Source organism: Homo sapiens, chromosome 3 (genome assembly GCF_000001405.40).
Source record: "Homo sapiens chromosome 3, GRCh38.p14 Primary Assembly".
In the NCBI taxonomy this organism is placed as follows: Eukaryota; Metazoa; Chordata; class Mammalia; order Primates; family Hominidae; genus Homo; species Homo sapiens.
The window spans coordinates 86,480,310-86,497,327 of NC_000003.12; the positions used below are offsets into that span (position 1 = coordinate 86,480,310).

Here is a 17,018-nt window from a genome sequence, read left to right on the forward strand (position 1 = left end):
CTTGATGGTCTTGAACAATATCCAGAACAATTTTCTAGATGACCAGGCAGAGACTCTTGTTCTTGTCCTCTACTTTCTCCCAAACAAACAGGGTCTCTATTTCTTTTCTAATCCACCTGTAGCTGGGGGTAGAGTGACATAAGCATGACTATGGTCACCACCACAAGGACTGCACTAGGTCAGACATTAAGCCAGCACAGCACTGGGTCTCACACAAGGCCTGCTATAACCACTCCCTGGCTACTGCCCATGTTTGCTCAAGATCTGGGGACTCTACAATCAGTAGAGGACAAACACAACCAGGCTTATGTCCTTCACTTTATGGCAGTGAGTTTCCCAGGCCTTGGGTGGGTCCGAAGTTGCCTTCAGGAGTTAAGGCATCTTAGCAGTAGGAGTAGTTAAAAAAAATCTTAGAAGTCTACATAGTATTCCATTGTACTGTGGCAGAGCTAGCACTCACATCAAAAGATGCAGTTACTTGCATTTTTCATATTCCAGAATTTCTGCTTAACACAGAGAATCACAGAGAACTGCATTTCCACTCTTCTCTCCCCTTTCAAAAGGCAGAAGAGTCTTACTCTATGGTCCTGATCATTACAGGCCCATGGGCAGTACCAGCAGATTACCACTGATGTTCCCTTAAGGCCCAAGGGCTCTTCAGTCAGCTTGTGGTGAATGCTGCCTGGCCTGAGACTCCACAGGACAGCGGATTCCCCTCTGGGCCTGATTAGGTTTAGAAATGTCATTTAAGAGCCAAGTCCTGCAATCCAGATTCTAAGAGACTCCTAGTTGCTTTACCCTGCTGTGGGTGAGCTGTGAACTAAGGTGCAAGCAAACTTTCCCCCTGCCTTTCTTAAGCATAAGTAGTCTTGCCTTAACACCACCATAACTGGTAATGTGCTGAGTCACACCTGAAGCCAGTAAGTATCAGAGGCTCACCAGAGGCCCTTTATGTAAGACCTGGATATCACTGCTGGTTGTTCAGGGCCCCAGGGCTCTTCAGTTAGCAGGTTATAAATTCTGCTAGGGCTGGGTCTTTCCTTTCAATGCAGCAGGTTCCCTTCTGGCCCAAGGTGTGTCTAGAAATGTCATCCAGTAGCTGGGGCTTGGAAAGGAGGCCTCATGACTCTGACTGGTGCTCTATCCTGCAGTGGCTGAGCTGTTATTCAAGATGTAAGACAATGTCTTTCCTGCTCTTCTCACTCCCCTCCTCAGTAGAAGCTCCTTTTGAAGCTGTGGGCTGTGCAGCTGGGGGTTAAGTAGTGGGGTGATGCCAGGACTCCCTTGGCTGCCCTAGCTGGTGCCTCAGTATGTCACATGCCCCCATGTCACTGGTTGTCAGCCAAGTTCAGCAGTAGGACTTGTCTAGGAGCTGCGGTCTTCATGGTCTAGATGGCCTTTAACATTAGGTAGGGCACCTGAGCACTTTAGCCCATGGTGGCAAGGTTTGTGGGAACTCAAGTTCAGACTGCTGGAATCAGGGATTCCCCCCTGGCAAGGGTTGGTTTAAGTGCTCCCTTGTAGGTTGGAGTCAGTTGAATTTGGTCCAGTTTTGCCATCTGCTATAACAGAGCAACACTGAATTCAATGCCTTACAAATGTTGTACTCCCCCTCTCCTGAGTTCACAGAATCACTCTCTGCATCATGCTGCTGCTGCTACAGGATGGGAGAATGGTGGTATCAGTGATTCAAGACTGTTTTTCCTACATCTTCAGTGCCTTTTTCAATGCTGTGGAGTTAAAACCAGGTACTGTAAGTGCTCACCTTATTTTTGGTTCTTATGATAGTACTATTTTGTGTAGATAGTTGTTAAATTGGTAATTGATTTTCTTGCAGGCAGCAACGGTGATCAGTTAAGCCTTCTATTCTGCCATCTTGCTCCACCCTGCTGTTTTTAAATATTTATTAAATCAGTCTGATCCTCTCTATTACCACTGCCCTAATGTGGACCATTATCAAGTTTTCATGGATTATTACAACAGCCTCTCTTCATGCCTGCAGTCTTAAACCCTTCCATTTTTCCCTGCAGAGAAATGTCAAAGTAACATGTCCTAAAATACAAGCTCATAGGAAATTTATTGTTCTCACATGTAGTACAAAGTTCAGGCTCTTCACTGTGAAGCATTCTGCATGGTACCTATGAGCTGTGCAAATGTCTGTTGAAGAAACAAATGGACAATAAATAAAGAGGTGAACAAGGCAAATAAGGCATAATCAGATTCCTTCATGCTTTCTCTTCTTCATCTTTTATCTTTTTTTATCGTGTACTTTTGCCTTCCACATTGATCCCTCCTTAGAACTACTCTCTCTTTCTTTGCCTTGCTAATACCTAATACCTAGTCAACCTTTTTTTTTTTTTAGACTGAGTCTCACTCTGTCACCCAGGCTGGAGTGTGGTGGTGCAATCTCTGCTCACTGCAACCTCCGCTTCCCAGGTTCAAGCAATTTTCTGCCTCGGCCTCCCGAGTAGCCGGGATTATAGGCACCCACCATCATGCCTGAGTAATTTTTGTATTTTTAGCAGAGATGGGGTTTCACCATCTTGTCCAGGCTGGTCTTGAACTCCTGACCTTGTGATCCACCCACCTGGGCCTCCCAAAGTGCTGGGATTACAGGTGTGAGCCACCGTGCCTGGCCACCTCATCAATTTTTAAGACTCAACTTAGAAGTAATCTCTTCACTGAAGTTTTCTGGACCCCTCCTCTTGCATTCCTCTCCCCACAGCATTTCAAATATTGGAAACCTTTCCTCATATTGATTCATATTAGCCTATTAATATTGTTTGGAAATTTGTCCTCTCCAAGACTCATGTTGAAATGTGATTTCCAGTATTAGAGGAAGGGCCTTGTGGGAGGTGTTTGTTTGGGTCATGGGAACGGATCCCTCATGAATGGCTTGGTGCCCTCCCCATTGTAATGAATTCACATGAGATCTGGTTGTTTAAAAAGGGACCTGGTACCTCTTTCTCTCTTTCTTACTTGCTCTCTCCATGTGAGATGCTGTCTCCTTTTGCTTTCACCATGATTGTAAGTTTCCTGAGACCTCACCAGAAGCAGATACTGGTGTAATGCTGCTTGCACAGTCTGCAGAACTGAGTTAAAACAACCTCTTTTCTTTATAAATATATATAAATATTAACCAGTCTCACGTATTCCTTTATAGCAATATAAATGTACTAAGACACCTATGTATATGTCTACCTCTGAACACAGCTCCACTGCATTTTAGCCATTTATTTTCATGTCTCTCGTTATACCTAAACTCATTTACTTAAGGACAGAGATCATATCATATATAAATATTTGCATCCTAACATGAAATTCACTCTTTTCCCTCACTTATAGTTACTTAATACATGTTTATAGAATGAATGCAGAGTTGAATAACTTAACTAATAGTAAATAACAATCATATTTTTCCAATCTGTGTATGTCTGGGGGAAGAATTAATGAACATAATTTCTGCCTTTTAAAGTTTGTCAGTTATAATTCTTAACGTTTTTCTGAAAAACATAAATATATTCAGCTGAAAACTTTCATATAGGGTACATTTATAAATATTAGCACTTCTTTGTTTTTATTCAGAAAAATGCCAAAGATGTTGAATATTTTACAAATATACTCTATGGGAAAATCCTGGAATGATATGGTTATGCTTTATTCAAAGGCTTTGGAGTTCTTTTATTCCCATATTTGACTGGAGTTATGATTTTATATTGAATGCTATGCATATATTCTATCAAGAAAGTTTCTTTAGATTGTGTGAGAGAATTAAATGTATTAACATGTCTTGACACGCTGCTTTAGGTAAATTCTTGAGTCATTTATGACATATTAAGGTGGTATTGTTCACATTGGGGTTACAGCAACAGATAAACAATATTCACACATTATGGGAGATATTTTATGGAGTAACGCATAAATTATGTAAGAAAGGTTAGTGAGACCAAAGTGAGTGAACCAAGAAAGGAGTGCTAAGAGATGGGTAGGAGAGGTAGACAGGGGTTAAAATGAGTAGTTTAGATTGAATTATTATTGCAGGAGAAGCCACTGGACGATTTTTCAACAGAAGAGTAATAAGAAGATAGACCAAAGGACTTGCTGTTGTCTTAGATGCTAAATATTAAAAATAAGTGAAGGAAAGATGAAAAACAAGGGTCTTTCCTTGAGAAACAAGGTGAGTGGATGGTAATATCATTTATTAGGTTGATGCAATACTAAGAGAGGAAATACTCCAGAAAAAAAACTATGCAGAGAGTGGAGATCAAGAATTGAGATAAAATCATGTTGGGTTTGAGAAGCCTATTATCAAAAATGCAAGTGAATATGCCTTCTAAGAGCTGTGTCAACAGATCAATTATGAGAACCTTAGGAGAGCATAATATATGTTAAATTATTAATATGTACTGTGACTTAATACGTTACCTTTCTCAAGTAATATATTTGCATTTTAATGAGTTTTCACTAAACACTTTGACCCAGATAAATTGCTCTAATACTCGCCATACCAATCATGTATCAGACTATGAGAGTTGAGTGCTGTGATAGGCTGTGATAGGCAATAATTATTTTGAAAGACATAGGCACCCCACCACTCTACTGAAACACAGGTCTCATAGTTGCCCAGTTGAGTAGTCTACCTCATCTGCTTCCCAAAATCACTTTTCCATACTCACATTTCCGGAATACAGCCTTAGGAAATATGAATCCCCCACATATGCCCATCAAGAGATTTTCCTGATGAAAATTTTAAAAGATTTGAGAACCTATTCAACAGTTAATTTGTGGTCATCTTTTTTCACTCAATGAATAAAGTTAATAAGTTTTTATCTAATAATTAAGTAGCTAATGTATCATTAAAGTATTTTTAGGATGTTTTAAAATATCAATGGATAATATGTTAGATACCTAACTATGCTTTTTCTTTTTCAATATTCAAAACAAAAGAAAATGTTTACTTGATTTACTATGAGTCTAGTCTTTCAGGGTCAGAAAAATCACTAAAATCAGAGTAATGACATGTTATCTCCCAGTTTGAAAAATGGTAATTCAGAACCCAGTGCTTCATGTGAAACACTCTTAAGCTGAGGAGAGTGAAAGTAAACTGAGGGCAGGGAGGAAATGGAGTCTTGAAAGAGAATGTCAGTGCTTTTCATATTCTTACTTTCACACAGTTCTAATTCACATTAGCAGGGAGATGAACACATAGTGGGATTATGTTGTGATTTGGCCTTATTTCATTTCTGTACACTAAATTATTACTTAGACATTATTCTATTCCATGTAAGGCAAAAAATTTCTCTCCTTGTAAAAACATTTTCTATATTTATGTTTATGTAGCTCCTATAAGTAAAAATGGCTGCATTGTTTAGCCCCAAATACAATCTCTCGGGGTATAACATTAAGATATTTAAAATACTTTATTAAATATTTAAAATAGCTTATTAAAAGATGAATCTCAGAACAAATGCCTGAAAGTTATAGGATATCTTGAAACTGTATTGAGCCTAAAATGAAAAAATAATTAATATGATCATCTTAATAATTTATAAATGTTATAATTAATAATTTATAAATATAGGCTTTATTTAATACAGGTGTATCAGCTCCCACTCTGTAACAATAAACACTAGAACTTAATGATTAAATATGTTTTTCTTTTTAGATTTCTTATGAGCCTACTGATTTTCTTGGTGGCTTGACTGATTTGGGACAACCTCAGTTCATTTCAGTTGGGCCTGTTCAGTCAGGTGAAACAGCTGTCAGAATGACCGAGTTCTGGCTGTCTAGGATGGTTTCCTTGAATTCATTCATAGCTTGCTAGGCATGAATCTGAAAACAGATGCTTCAAAGTTGCAAGATGCCTTTTAACAGAATTATATTACTTTTCTTAATTTTGAAAGAACAGTGAATAGAGGATTTTTTTAATTTATTTTTTATTTTTTTAAATTTTTTTATTATTATACTTTAAGTTTTAGGGTACATGTGCACAATGTGCAGGTTACTTACATATGTATACATGTGCCATGCTGGTGTGCTGCACCCACTAACTCATCATCTAGCATTAGGTATATCTCCCAATGCTATCTCTCCCCACTCCCCCAACCCCACAACAGGCCCCAGAGTGTGATGTTCCCCTTCCTGTGTCCATGTGTTCTCATTGTTCAATTCCCACCTATGAGTGAGAATATGCGGTGTTTGGTTTTTTGTTCTTGCGATAGTTTACTGAGAATGAATAGAGGATATTTAGGAATTTTTAGTCATGTGTTTTGTTTAAGCTAGTCTGATAATTTTAAAAAGTTTATCATTGTTATCATTTTATACACATAGCACAGAACAACTGTTTGATGGAAAATACAAGGTCTTATAACTTCATGCTTGGGCTCAAAAAGCTACTTACCATCAAATTTGCTTCAATTATGTTTAAATGAACTAAACTTTCTGATCATCCTTTAACTGCTTAGCAGGGTGCACAAAAGTATGTGTTCAATTAAGTTAAGACTACTGGCCTTCCCAAATTTTAATTGGTCTCTGTGTTTTATAGGTGAGCCAACAGTATTCTAGAGTTGATATAATGTAATTAAATTTTAATAAATTCTCTGCAAATTAACATAGGAATTAATGGAAAGCATTTCCAAATTACATAATTTGTATAATCTTTGTGAGTTTATTTCACAAGGTACCTTTTCAGAGATAAAAAATGTAATTCTAAAAAAGTGTTAGGTAATTAAAAGATGAATAAAGCTATCAGTAAATGATATGTCAACAATGTTAAGCTATTATTTTCAAATTCTTTTCTATTTAGAAAAGTAATATATTAATTGTAGAGACTGGACATTTAAAAATACATAAAAAGCATAAAAACATTCAAAATTTTGTTATGCATAAATTAAATTAATCATGGAATAATATCATGTATATAAAGATACAGTTAAAATTTCTTTTAATTTTATTAATATTATGTAATAAGCATAATTTTCTTGCGTATTTTTGAAGCATTGTTTTTAATATAAAGTTTCTAGAACATAGTAACTACATAAAATACATTAAACACACATTTTCCTCAGGTATGAAAAATTATTTAAGTAGTCTTTTTTTGAACCTTTGTTCTTTTTGAATGTTTCTTTTGTTATTAAAAGCAAGGCTGCGATGAAGCTAAATATCTGTGTACATGACTCAGTGCTTTCCTCCTGATACTGAATACTTTTTTATAAGTTTGTAGACGTGGACTACTAGTCCACATCTTTTTCCTGTGCGTCTCCAATCCAACCCAGAGTACTCTCTCACTCTCTCTTTTTCTTCCTGCCCCCTTCTACATCTCTAACTTTATTTAAATATCTGCCAATTTGAGAAGCCACATAAGTGTGTTGAATTAATTTTCTTTGCATTGTGTTATCAGTAGGAGTGATTTAAAAAAATTAAATGCTTATTGCATTTCTTTTGTGGAAAAATGCATATTTATACACTTTACCATTTCTCTGTTGAATTTTCAAACTTTGACTAAACTTTTTATATAATACAAAATCAACCTTTTATCTAAAATTGACCTTAGTTTTTTTGTTTTAGATTTATATTTAAAATGTCCTCCATGTCTAGGGTTTACAGAAGTAATAATATCTTCTTGATTTCCTTCATGACAGAGATAGTTTTTAAAATGTGATGTTGCATACATTTTTATTAATATGTTTAGTAAAAACAAGGGCATAGCAGAAACCACAGTGATGAAATACTAAATAAAAGATGAAATGATAATAAGGAAAGCTTCAAAATATGATGCTAGTGGGTCACTGCACACAAGAATTCATCCTGATGGGAACTGTCTGCCCTGGCACCTTTATTCTTCTAGTTGATTAGCTGTCACATGTGGTAACTTGGTAGATTGTGCATTATCATAAAACTTTCAGAATCACGCTGAAAGCCAAAGCATATCATAGCTATTTCTTCTCCCTAAAGATGACTTGAAACCAATAGCTACTCTTCAACTCTTCTCATCTCTCCAAACTGCACATTTCACACAAGTCGTAAAGTACCTTAAATAGGTAAATATCTCATTTTGATTTATATTTCCACAGAGATGACCTAAGCACAGAGTTCTTTATAAAAACCTATGCTTGAATAAATTTGGCCAGATTGCAGAATCAGGAAGGAAATAGATTTAGAGGTTAACATTTATACGAAGGTCAAGTGCTTTGGAAACAAAAAATAAATGGATATTTGTACAGTATAAAAGTCCCTTTATTATGCATATTCTCTATTTTTTTGAATTTTACTTTAAGTTCTGGGATACATGTGCTGAACGTGCAGGTTACATAGGTTTACATGTGCCATGGTGATTTGCTGCACCCATCAACCCGTCATCTAGGTTTTAAGCCTCACATGCATTAGGTATTTGTCTTAATGCTTTCCCTCCCCTTGGCCCCCAGCCCCTGTCCGGCCCTGGTGTGTGATGTTTCCCTCCCTGTGTACATGTGTTCTCATTGTTCAACTCCCATTTGTGAGTGAGAACATGCGGCGTTTGGTTTTCTCTTCCTGTGTTAGTTTGCTGAGAATAATGGCTTCCAGCTTCATCCATGTCCCTGCAAAGGACATGAACTCATTCTTTTTTATGGCTGCATAGTATTCCATGATGTATATATGCCACATTTTCTTTATCCAGTCTATCATTGTCTATCATTGGTAGGCATTTGTGTTGTTCCTAAGTCTTGGCTATTGTAAACAGTGCTTCAATAAACATATGCGTGCATGTCTTTATGGTAGAATGATTTACAATCCTTTGGGTATACAGCTGGTAATGGGATGGCTTGGTCAAATAGTATTTCTGGTTCTAGATTCTTGAGGAATCGCCACTCTGTCTTCCACAATGGTTGAACTAATTTACACATCCAACAACAGTGTACAAGCATTCCTATTTCTCCACAGCCTCACCAGCATCTGTTGTTTCCTGTAAAAGCCCCCTCACCCTTTTTTTTTTAAGACGTAGTCTCACTCTGTTGCCAGGCTGCAGTGCAGTGGCGAGATCTCAGCTCACTTCAACGTCTGCCTCCCGGGTTCAAGAGATTCTCCTGCCTCAGTCTCCCAACTAGCTGGGATTACAAGTCCACGCCACCACGCCCAGCTAATTTTTGTATTTTTAGTAGAGACAGGGTTTCACCACGTTGGCCAGGACAGTCTCAATCTCCTGACCTTGTGATCCGCCCACCTCGGCCTCCCAAAGTGCTCGGATTACAGGTGTGAGCCAATGAGCCTGGCACATAATCTTGTTTTAAGTAACAGATTCTTTTTGACACAAGTTATTGTTTCATCTTCTTTGTAAGAATTTAAAGAGAGAAGAATTTTTATCAATTTGAAATCTTGGTTTCATCATGTAATAATAAAGCACATTTTCACTTTCATAATTAATAAATGGATCATGGTTTGCTCACATTTTGAAATATAGTACAGAACACAATAAAAATGGGAATATGTTGAAGATAATTTAAACTTAAATCATTTAATATATTAGCAAAAAGTACAGAAAGGAGATTATAAACATTTGAAAAATGAGACTAATAATAACCTTAAATCAAATAACAAATGATTTTTGAAGCTCTTTTATTTTCTTCTGTAACATTGGTGAAGAAATATAGACTCTTCTCCATGTAGTACAAAACGGAAATCCTTCGTTTTATTATGTTCACATTTCTGAAAAATTGATGCATGTTTCAAAGAATTGATTGGGAATTGCTGCACTTTACATGTTTAGAAACATATCCAGATATGGAAATCACAGCATACATAGGGCTTTTTAATAAGGAATGACTTCTCATTCACACATTATAATTTTAATTGTCCTTTTTTGAAAGATATTAGAACAATCAACAAGATCTGAAATCATTTTAGGCAAGAATGAATAGACTATCATTTCAATAAGAAGTTGAATTGTGATAAAAGAGGAAAGCACACTACATTTATTTTATTTAGTTTGGGAGTCAATCATGTAGACACAAAGATAATTTACAGTCTTATGTGCACACACTTAACACCCAAGATAAAGTAATGTTTTTTAACTTATTATTTCATATTGAAAGGTATTTTTAATGTGGGGAGAAGCAAGAAGGGAAGCGAAAATATAACCCCATACCAGTAAAATTTAAAAGGCAAAAATCCTCTAAAATACAAAGCCTTGGAGGACAATCTCTGTTCTGAACTGTTGCTGAAAACAAACTGAAATAATGTAAAGACAACCAAAAAGGAACTCCTAAAGCTGCCTGGGGCAGATGATAGTATTTTCTCAGGACACATTTAAGTAAGAGCAGCAAGACAAAAAAGAGGAACAAGAAAGGCAAACTAGACAGGGTCATTGTTATGGAAAAGTTCTCAGTAGCAAGGCCTTATTTCTATAAAAAAGATAATTCATACTCATACTTTATTAATACCAATGTGAGATCCAGGATAACAGATCCAAATTTCCTGCTGCATTGTAGATGAGGCAGCAGAGTGCAACCATAGCTCACCTTTTGGGATTTTAGAAAAGTCTGAGTTTCAGTTATCTTACCGTAAATATCAGGCTAACATCACTTTCATTGATATTTCAGTACTGTCTGGAAAATATGAACGAATATCTGAACACACTTTTAAAAATAGTGGTGTTTCATACTAATATCAAGTAATAAAGTATATTGTTTGAGTTCTACCTTTTTATGAAAAAAATTGAAGAAGGATTTCTTAAAGCTGTGGAAATAAAGACCTATGCTTGGTGTGATCATATAATTTATTGTCCAAATCAAGATAGTTTTGAAAATAAGAAGCACTAAAATTATTAAAATGGTATCCATTTAAAAAAAACTTTGTGTATTGACTAATTGATTTTGTTAAATTGGATGAATTATAAAAAAACTATTAAAATCTATTTTTAAAAAATTTAATAACCTTTTAATAATTTCTATCTCTAGTACCAATTTACTGATATTTTTCTGAAGAATATTTATTTAAAACAGTTTCATACATATGTAATTTCTTTATTAATTTCAACTTTTAATTAAAATATAAAATTCATCATTTTTAATTGTAGAGTTTGATAAATGGTAGTATATTTATAGTTGTATAACCATCACTACAGTCTAATCCTAGAACTTTTCCATCACCTTGGGCTCTAGGTGATTTGTTTTTATTATTGTACAGCATGACTTGGTAAATGTATCACAATTTATAGATGAATTCTGCCGTTGTTTATCATTTAGATTATTTGCAGATTTGGCTTTTATAAATATAGCTACTATAAAAATTATTGTCCTTAACTTCTGGTGCACCTGAGGACACATCTCTGTTGTATATATCCATAAGAATAGAATTTTTAGGTCACAGCACAATCATATATTTATCTTAAGGAGATCATTCTACATTGCTTGGCACAGTGGCTTCTTCAATTTACATTTGTTCTTACAGTATACAAGACAATCTAATGCAATATATATTCAGCCAAAGTTGGTACAGACAAATGTTAAACTTTCAGACATCTTAATATGTATAGTAATATCTCATTGAGGCTTTAAATTGTATTTTCCTGATAATTGATAAAGTTAAACAAGTTCACATGTTAATTTTTCCTTTGAATATCTTCTTTACTGAAGTTTAAAAATCTATTTAAAAATTATGTTGTTTATCTTTTCTTCATTAACATGATAACATTTTTATATATCTGGATAGAATAACCTTCTTGGTTATATATGTTGCTTTTCTACTCTGTGGATTTTCATTATATTAAATGTGTCTTGAGAAATGAAAGTTTACAACTTAAAATAATCCAATGTATACTATAGCATTTACAGTTAAAGCTCTGTATTCTTCTTAATGAGTACTTTTTAAACACATGCTATTTTAAGATATATTAATCTAAATATAGTAAATATTAATATTTTTAAGATAAATACTGTTTTAACTTGTGCTTTTAGATCTATCATTTAATATAAATTTACTCATATGTATTTGTGGATTATGGGATTATGGGTTAGTTTCGCTTTTTATTTTCCAGTTTAGGTGGATGGCTGACCTAGTTCTGTTTACAGAATAGATCATATTTTTCCCACTACTCTACATTAACACGTTTGTAGTAATTAAACTGTACTTATATACATGGGTTTGTTTTTATCCTCTCTATTCTGTTTTATCATTCTGTTCTTCCTAGAGTCAATACTTCATTATTTTAATTACTGTGATTTACAATAAGTCTTGATATCTAATAAGAGATATTATTCATTACTGTGTTAGGCCTCTGTTGATATCAAAGTATATAAGAACAATATAGTAATATGCATAAAAGTTATTTAAAATATACAAACTAACTTTGACCTAGCAGAAATTCTCACATTACTTTCTTCTTAAAGATTTTTCTGAATAATTTAAATCTTTTTTATGTCCAATTATATTTTTAAACCCATTTGTCTTTTTCTAAAAAGTTTATGTTTATGTTGAGATCACATTAAATTTGTATATTTGCAGTATTATCTCTTACAGTGGATGAATATGTCATATTTATTTGTTTTTCTTTAATTTCTCTAAATAATGTTTTATAATTTTGCTATGTAGATGCCTCGCACATTGTTTAGACTTATTTTTTCTTGCTGTTGTAAGTGGCACATTTTATAAAATTATATCTTTTAAACATCTGTTGCTAATACAATTACTTTTGTACTCACAATTCTTGTTTGAGGCCACTTATTACATTAAATATTTTTTCTCAGTTTTTAAATTTTTTTACACAAATAATGAAGTTGTCTATGCATCACAAGTTAGAGTTATTTTCCTTTTCAACTTTTATTATGGTTTGTTTGTTTTTCATGACTTATTTTATTCTCAAGAACTGCCTTTGTAATGCTGAATAGACATTGTAGTAATGGTCATCCTTATCTCTTTATATCACAGAAAAACATCTTCCAAAATTTCTCCTGTAATTTTGTTGATTTTTATTGTTGTTTTTTAGATGATTAAGAAATTCCTCCTTCTAGTTGTAGTGTGCTATGTGTTTTGGCAATAAGTGGATGTTTAATTGTTTCAGAAATAATTGTCAAACATTAAAAACAAATTTGTACTTCTGAATGTGTTAAATTTGAGTGTACTTCTAAATTTACTGATAATGTGTATTTTTACTTCTACGTTCATGAGTGAGTTGGGTTTGTAATTTTCCTTCCTTATAATATCCTTCTCAGGTTTAAGTTTTAAAGTAATTCTTTCTTCATAAATTGAACTATGGCTAGTTTTATAGAAAAGTTGCTGTGACTTTGGTATTATTTCCCCATTTAAAATTGTAAAATCCAGTAAGGCTATCTGGGGTACTGCCCTCCAATTTCAAGTTCTGTTCAGCAATCTGTTCTCAGAAGCCTCTACTGTAATTGTCAGGGAGATACTTCTACAAATCTGCAAGGTCCCTAGGACAGTGTTTCTCCAAGTGTGCTCCTCACACAAGTAGCAGCAATGTCACCAAGAAACTTGCTAGAAATGCAAATCGCCAAGCCCCTTTTAATACGTGCTGAATTAGAAATTCTGAGGTTGGGGCCATCAGTCTTTGTTTAAATAAACTTCCCAGATGACTTTGATGTGAACCGAAATTTGAGAACTACCTTAAGAGAAAGCAACTCAAATGTCAGACTCTCTTTTTTTGCCTTCTCTGATGTCTTGGCAGAAAGTATTCACTATCTTGTTAGTACTACATTGACATCGACATATATGAAAACAACATAATTATATGTATAAAAAATATTGAAAGTATAAAAACTAACTAACCTAGCAAATTCACTTACAGAAATTAATCCTAAGGAAACAATATGAAATTCTTAAATGTTTTACATGAAATTATGTTTAAAGGACATAAATTTGTACATAGATGATATTCATTTCAGTATTATTTAGTTAATTGTGGAAAACTATGTGTAAGTTCATTAATAAAAATTGATTAAATAATTATTTTATCTTTCAGTGATACAATATTATGCATCTAACAAAACATTGATTATATATAAATGATTTTATATATCATATATGATTTTATATACAATAAATATAAATGATTATATATAAATGATAAAAAAATATAAAAGATTATATATTATATACATATAATGTATTTCTTTCCAATGGTAATATATTTTTGATATATGCATTAAAATACCAATATAAAGTAATTTGCATTTTTGTACTTCTGTATATTTTCTTCTCAGCTCTACTAAAAAGTTACTGTTTCTAAAGAGTTACCTTGACTTGTGCTGTAAATGCATTGCCTGACTATCCCAATTTCTAAACAATTTTTAGAAAGTGTTGTAAATGTATTTTACGGCATTTATTGTTAGATTATCAAATTTATGTCGATTAGGGATGTTTTTATTATACATATACAGGTATAAATGGATTTGCTCCCATTTAACCTTCATTTATTTTTTAATGATTATATTATAGTTTTAAAATATTTGCTCAGTTTTTACTGTTATTAAAATTTATCATTGGCTTATGTAAAAAGATGCAAGGAGAATACAGAAGAAAAAAGGAATCCACATCAATTTGGGTCTTATCCTTAGATAGAGTCTTTGCACATTTACTAATAATCTGTTTCCAATTTTAGTATGTGGGCTATGAAGTGAGCATCACATTTTTTGTAAAGTTTATAATATTCACACTTTCAAAACCAAAACACTTCTATAGTTAATTTTTGTTGATATTAGATGTTTGTGATAAATACACCAAAGATTATGTTTTAACTGGGATGATTTCTTACAATGTTTTTCTTTAGGGAGAGGAGATGATATGGGAATAAGATCATAATACATTGCATAAATGGCATTCAAAGTTGTGGAGATATATATATATAATGTATATGCATTGAAATACCAATACAAAGTAGGCTTACTATTAGATGTGTGTGTGTGTGTGTGTATATATATATATGTGTGTGTGTGTGTGTGTGTGTGTGTGTGTGTGTATGTATGTGTGTGTGTATATATATATATATATATATATATATATATATATGGAAAAGTTAAAAAAAAAAACTCCTTGCCAAAAAGGTAAAATTAGAAAACAGTTTCAATAACATATTGCATATATTTTGTAACTCAATTAAGACAAATTATTATAATATAATATTACTATTAAAAAACCAAGCTCTGAGTTATTAGCTTGAAAGGAGAGGTTGACAGCCTTCCCCCAGATATGAGATAACAAGACAGCCTGACACATTCTACTTGTAAATACTTTCATATACTGTTTTGAAGTAAACTTTAATTAGCAGACATCATCAATAAGCATTAGATTTGTCATATGCTAATTGTGACAGAGTTTTAATATGTCCTTTTGTTATTTTAAGACCAGATTATTCAGTCACTAGGAAGGGTACAGGTGTGTGTGTGTGTATACATTAGTGTTTTGAAATATAGACCAGCCTCTTCTATAGCCCAGAGTAGAGAAGATTGACTGTGTTCCTTGTCTCAGTCTCTTTTCCTATATTTCCTTCTAGCATAGGTCTTTCTCTGTGCTTACCTGCTGGGATCCACTATGATGTCTACCACTGAGGCTGTTCCTCCTCTCAAGACTCAAGACCCTCTTTACTTCTTTTAACTCCACTAGAGGAAGGACAGCAGTAAAATGTTCAATGCCGTTTGTGTCTGTTCTTGGCAGTGACATTCAGTTCTCTTTATAAAACAAGGGAGTAGAAAGAGAGTAGAAGTGACATCTTCACACACACATACCGTTTGCTAGATTTGTCAAACAGCTGATTTCAAACTGTTAATATGACACAGAATCAATTTTTTTGAGTCAAACTTTTCATTATACAATAGAATTGAAAAGTTAATATCAGAATAACTGTCTGTTAGTAAGATTTTATTTAAAAAATTTGGTTGCATACACACCTAAACATTCACTTACATTGTTATAGCATATGACATTGTGATGTAAAATATATTTCTTACTCTAGTCACGGTCATAAACGATCGAAAGCCATGACTTAAGGGCATTATTTAGTGCTGAGCTGTCTAATATGGTAGCTATTTTATTTAAATGTAAATGAATTAAAATTACATAAAATTAAAATCAGTGTCTTAACCAAAGCGGCCACATTTAATTGCTCAATAATTACTTGTGGCAACTTTATTGTATATCTTGGGTCCAGCCTTTTATCATCGCAGAAAGTTCTGCTGGCAGTGCTGATGTAGAAACAATCTAATACTATATTTGTAACATTTTCTTTATATGAAATTTGTACATAACAAATAATGTCCAACAATTAATAAAATTTGTGGTGGTTTTTGTCTTTTGCTACAATAAAGTTTTATGCAATAGTATTTAGCTGGTTGTATTAGATAGTGTTGACTTATTGAAAGAATTCCATTGCTTTATTTAAGAAAAGCAAGACCCAAAACCATGAAGCAAGAAAGAATAATCATTAGTGGCATGAACTCGGAATCCACTGCTCAGATTCAAATCCACTTTTCTACCTGTGTGAACTTGGACATTTATTTGCCTCAGTTCTATTACCTGTATAATGGATATGACGTGAATAGTTTTATCTATATCTTAGTGCTTAAATTTATAAAGTGGACTTTATATTACAAATTTATATTCATAAAATGCCTACACAAGTAAAAGCTAAATTAAGTGATGAGTTAAATTCATTTTTTGTCTAAACGTATTTGTGTCATATATAAATAAATATATACTTGTATTTGTGTGTGTATGTATATTATTTTGTCAAGCATCTTCTGAAAATGCGCAGAAGGCACAATGCAAAGTTGTGGTCATTAAAATTTTAATTTGGTTATTGACATTTAAGTTCTCCTTCCTGTGTTAGATGATTCTGGACACACATTTATATGTTATGAGCAAAAGTTAACTACCGAATATCTATGTTTCAATATTATTTATTTTTAATTTTTTTATAATTTTAAATGGTTTCTCACAAGGATAAGATAGAATGGAGAGTTTGGAAATTTAAAAAGTAAATGTAGTTCCAAGATGAAAATTGAGAACCATTTCCATTTTAAAAGAGAGAACAG

The 17,018-nt window shown here is 33.3% G+C and overlaps 1 long non-coding RNA gene across 1 annotated transcript, besides 1 other annotated feature; it reads left to right on the forward strand.

Annotated features, from left to right (window-relative positions):
* Positions 421-1,620: an enhancer, noted in NCBI's record as "BRD4-independent group 4 enhancer chr3:86529880-86531079 (GRCh37/hg19 assembly coordinates)". NCBI's record gives its function as "activates an origin of replication core promoter dependent on BRD2, P300/CBP, MED14 and CDK7 cofactors, and independent of BRD4, by STARR-seq in HCT116 cells {active_cell/tissue: HCT116}" and the evidence as "EXISTENCE:reporter gene assay evidence [ECO:0000049][PMID:35650434]".
* On the forward strand, positions 1,634-16,687 carry LINC02070 (long intergenic non-protein coding RNA 2070). The gene is made up of 2 exons (NR_135563.1): positions 1,634-1,748; positions 15,482-16,687. It is a non-coding gene; the product is annotated as a long intergenic non-protein coding RNA 2070 (long non-coding RNA).
* Positions 16,688-17,018: the final 331 nt, after the last annotated feature.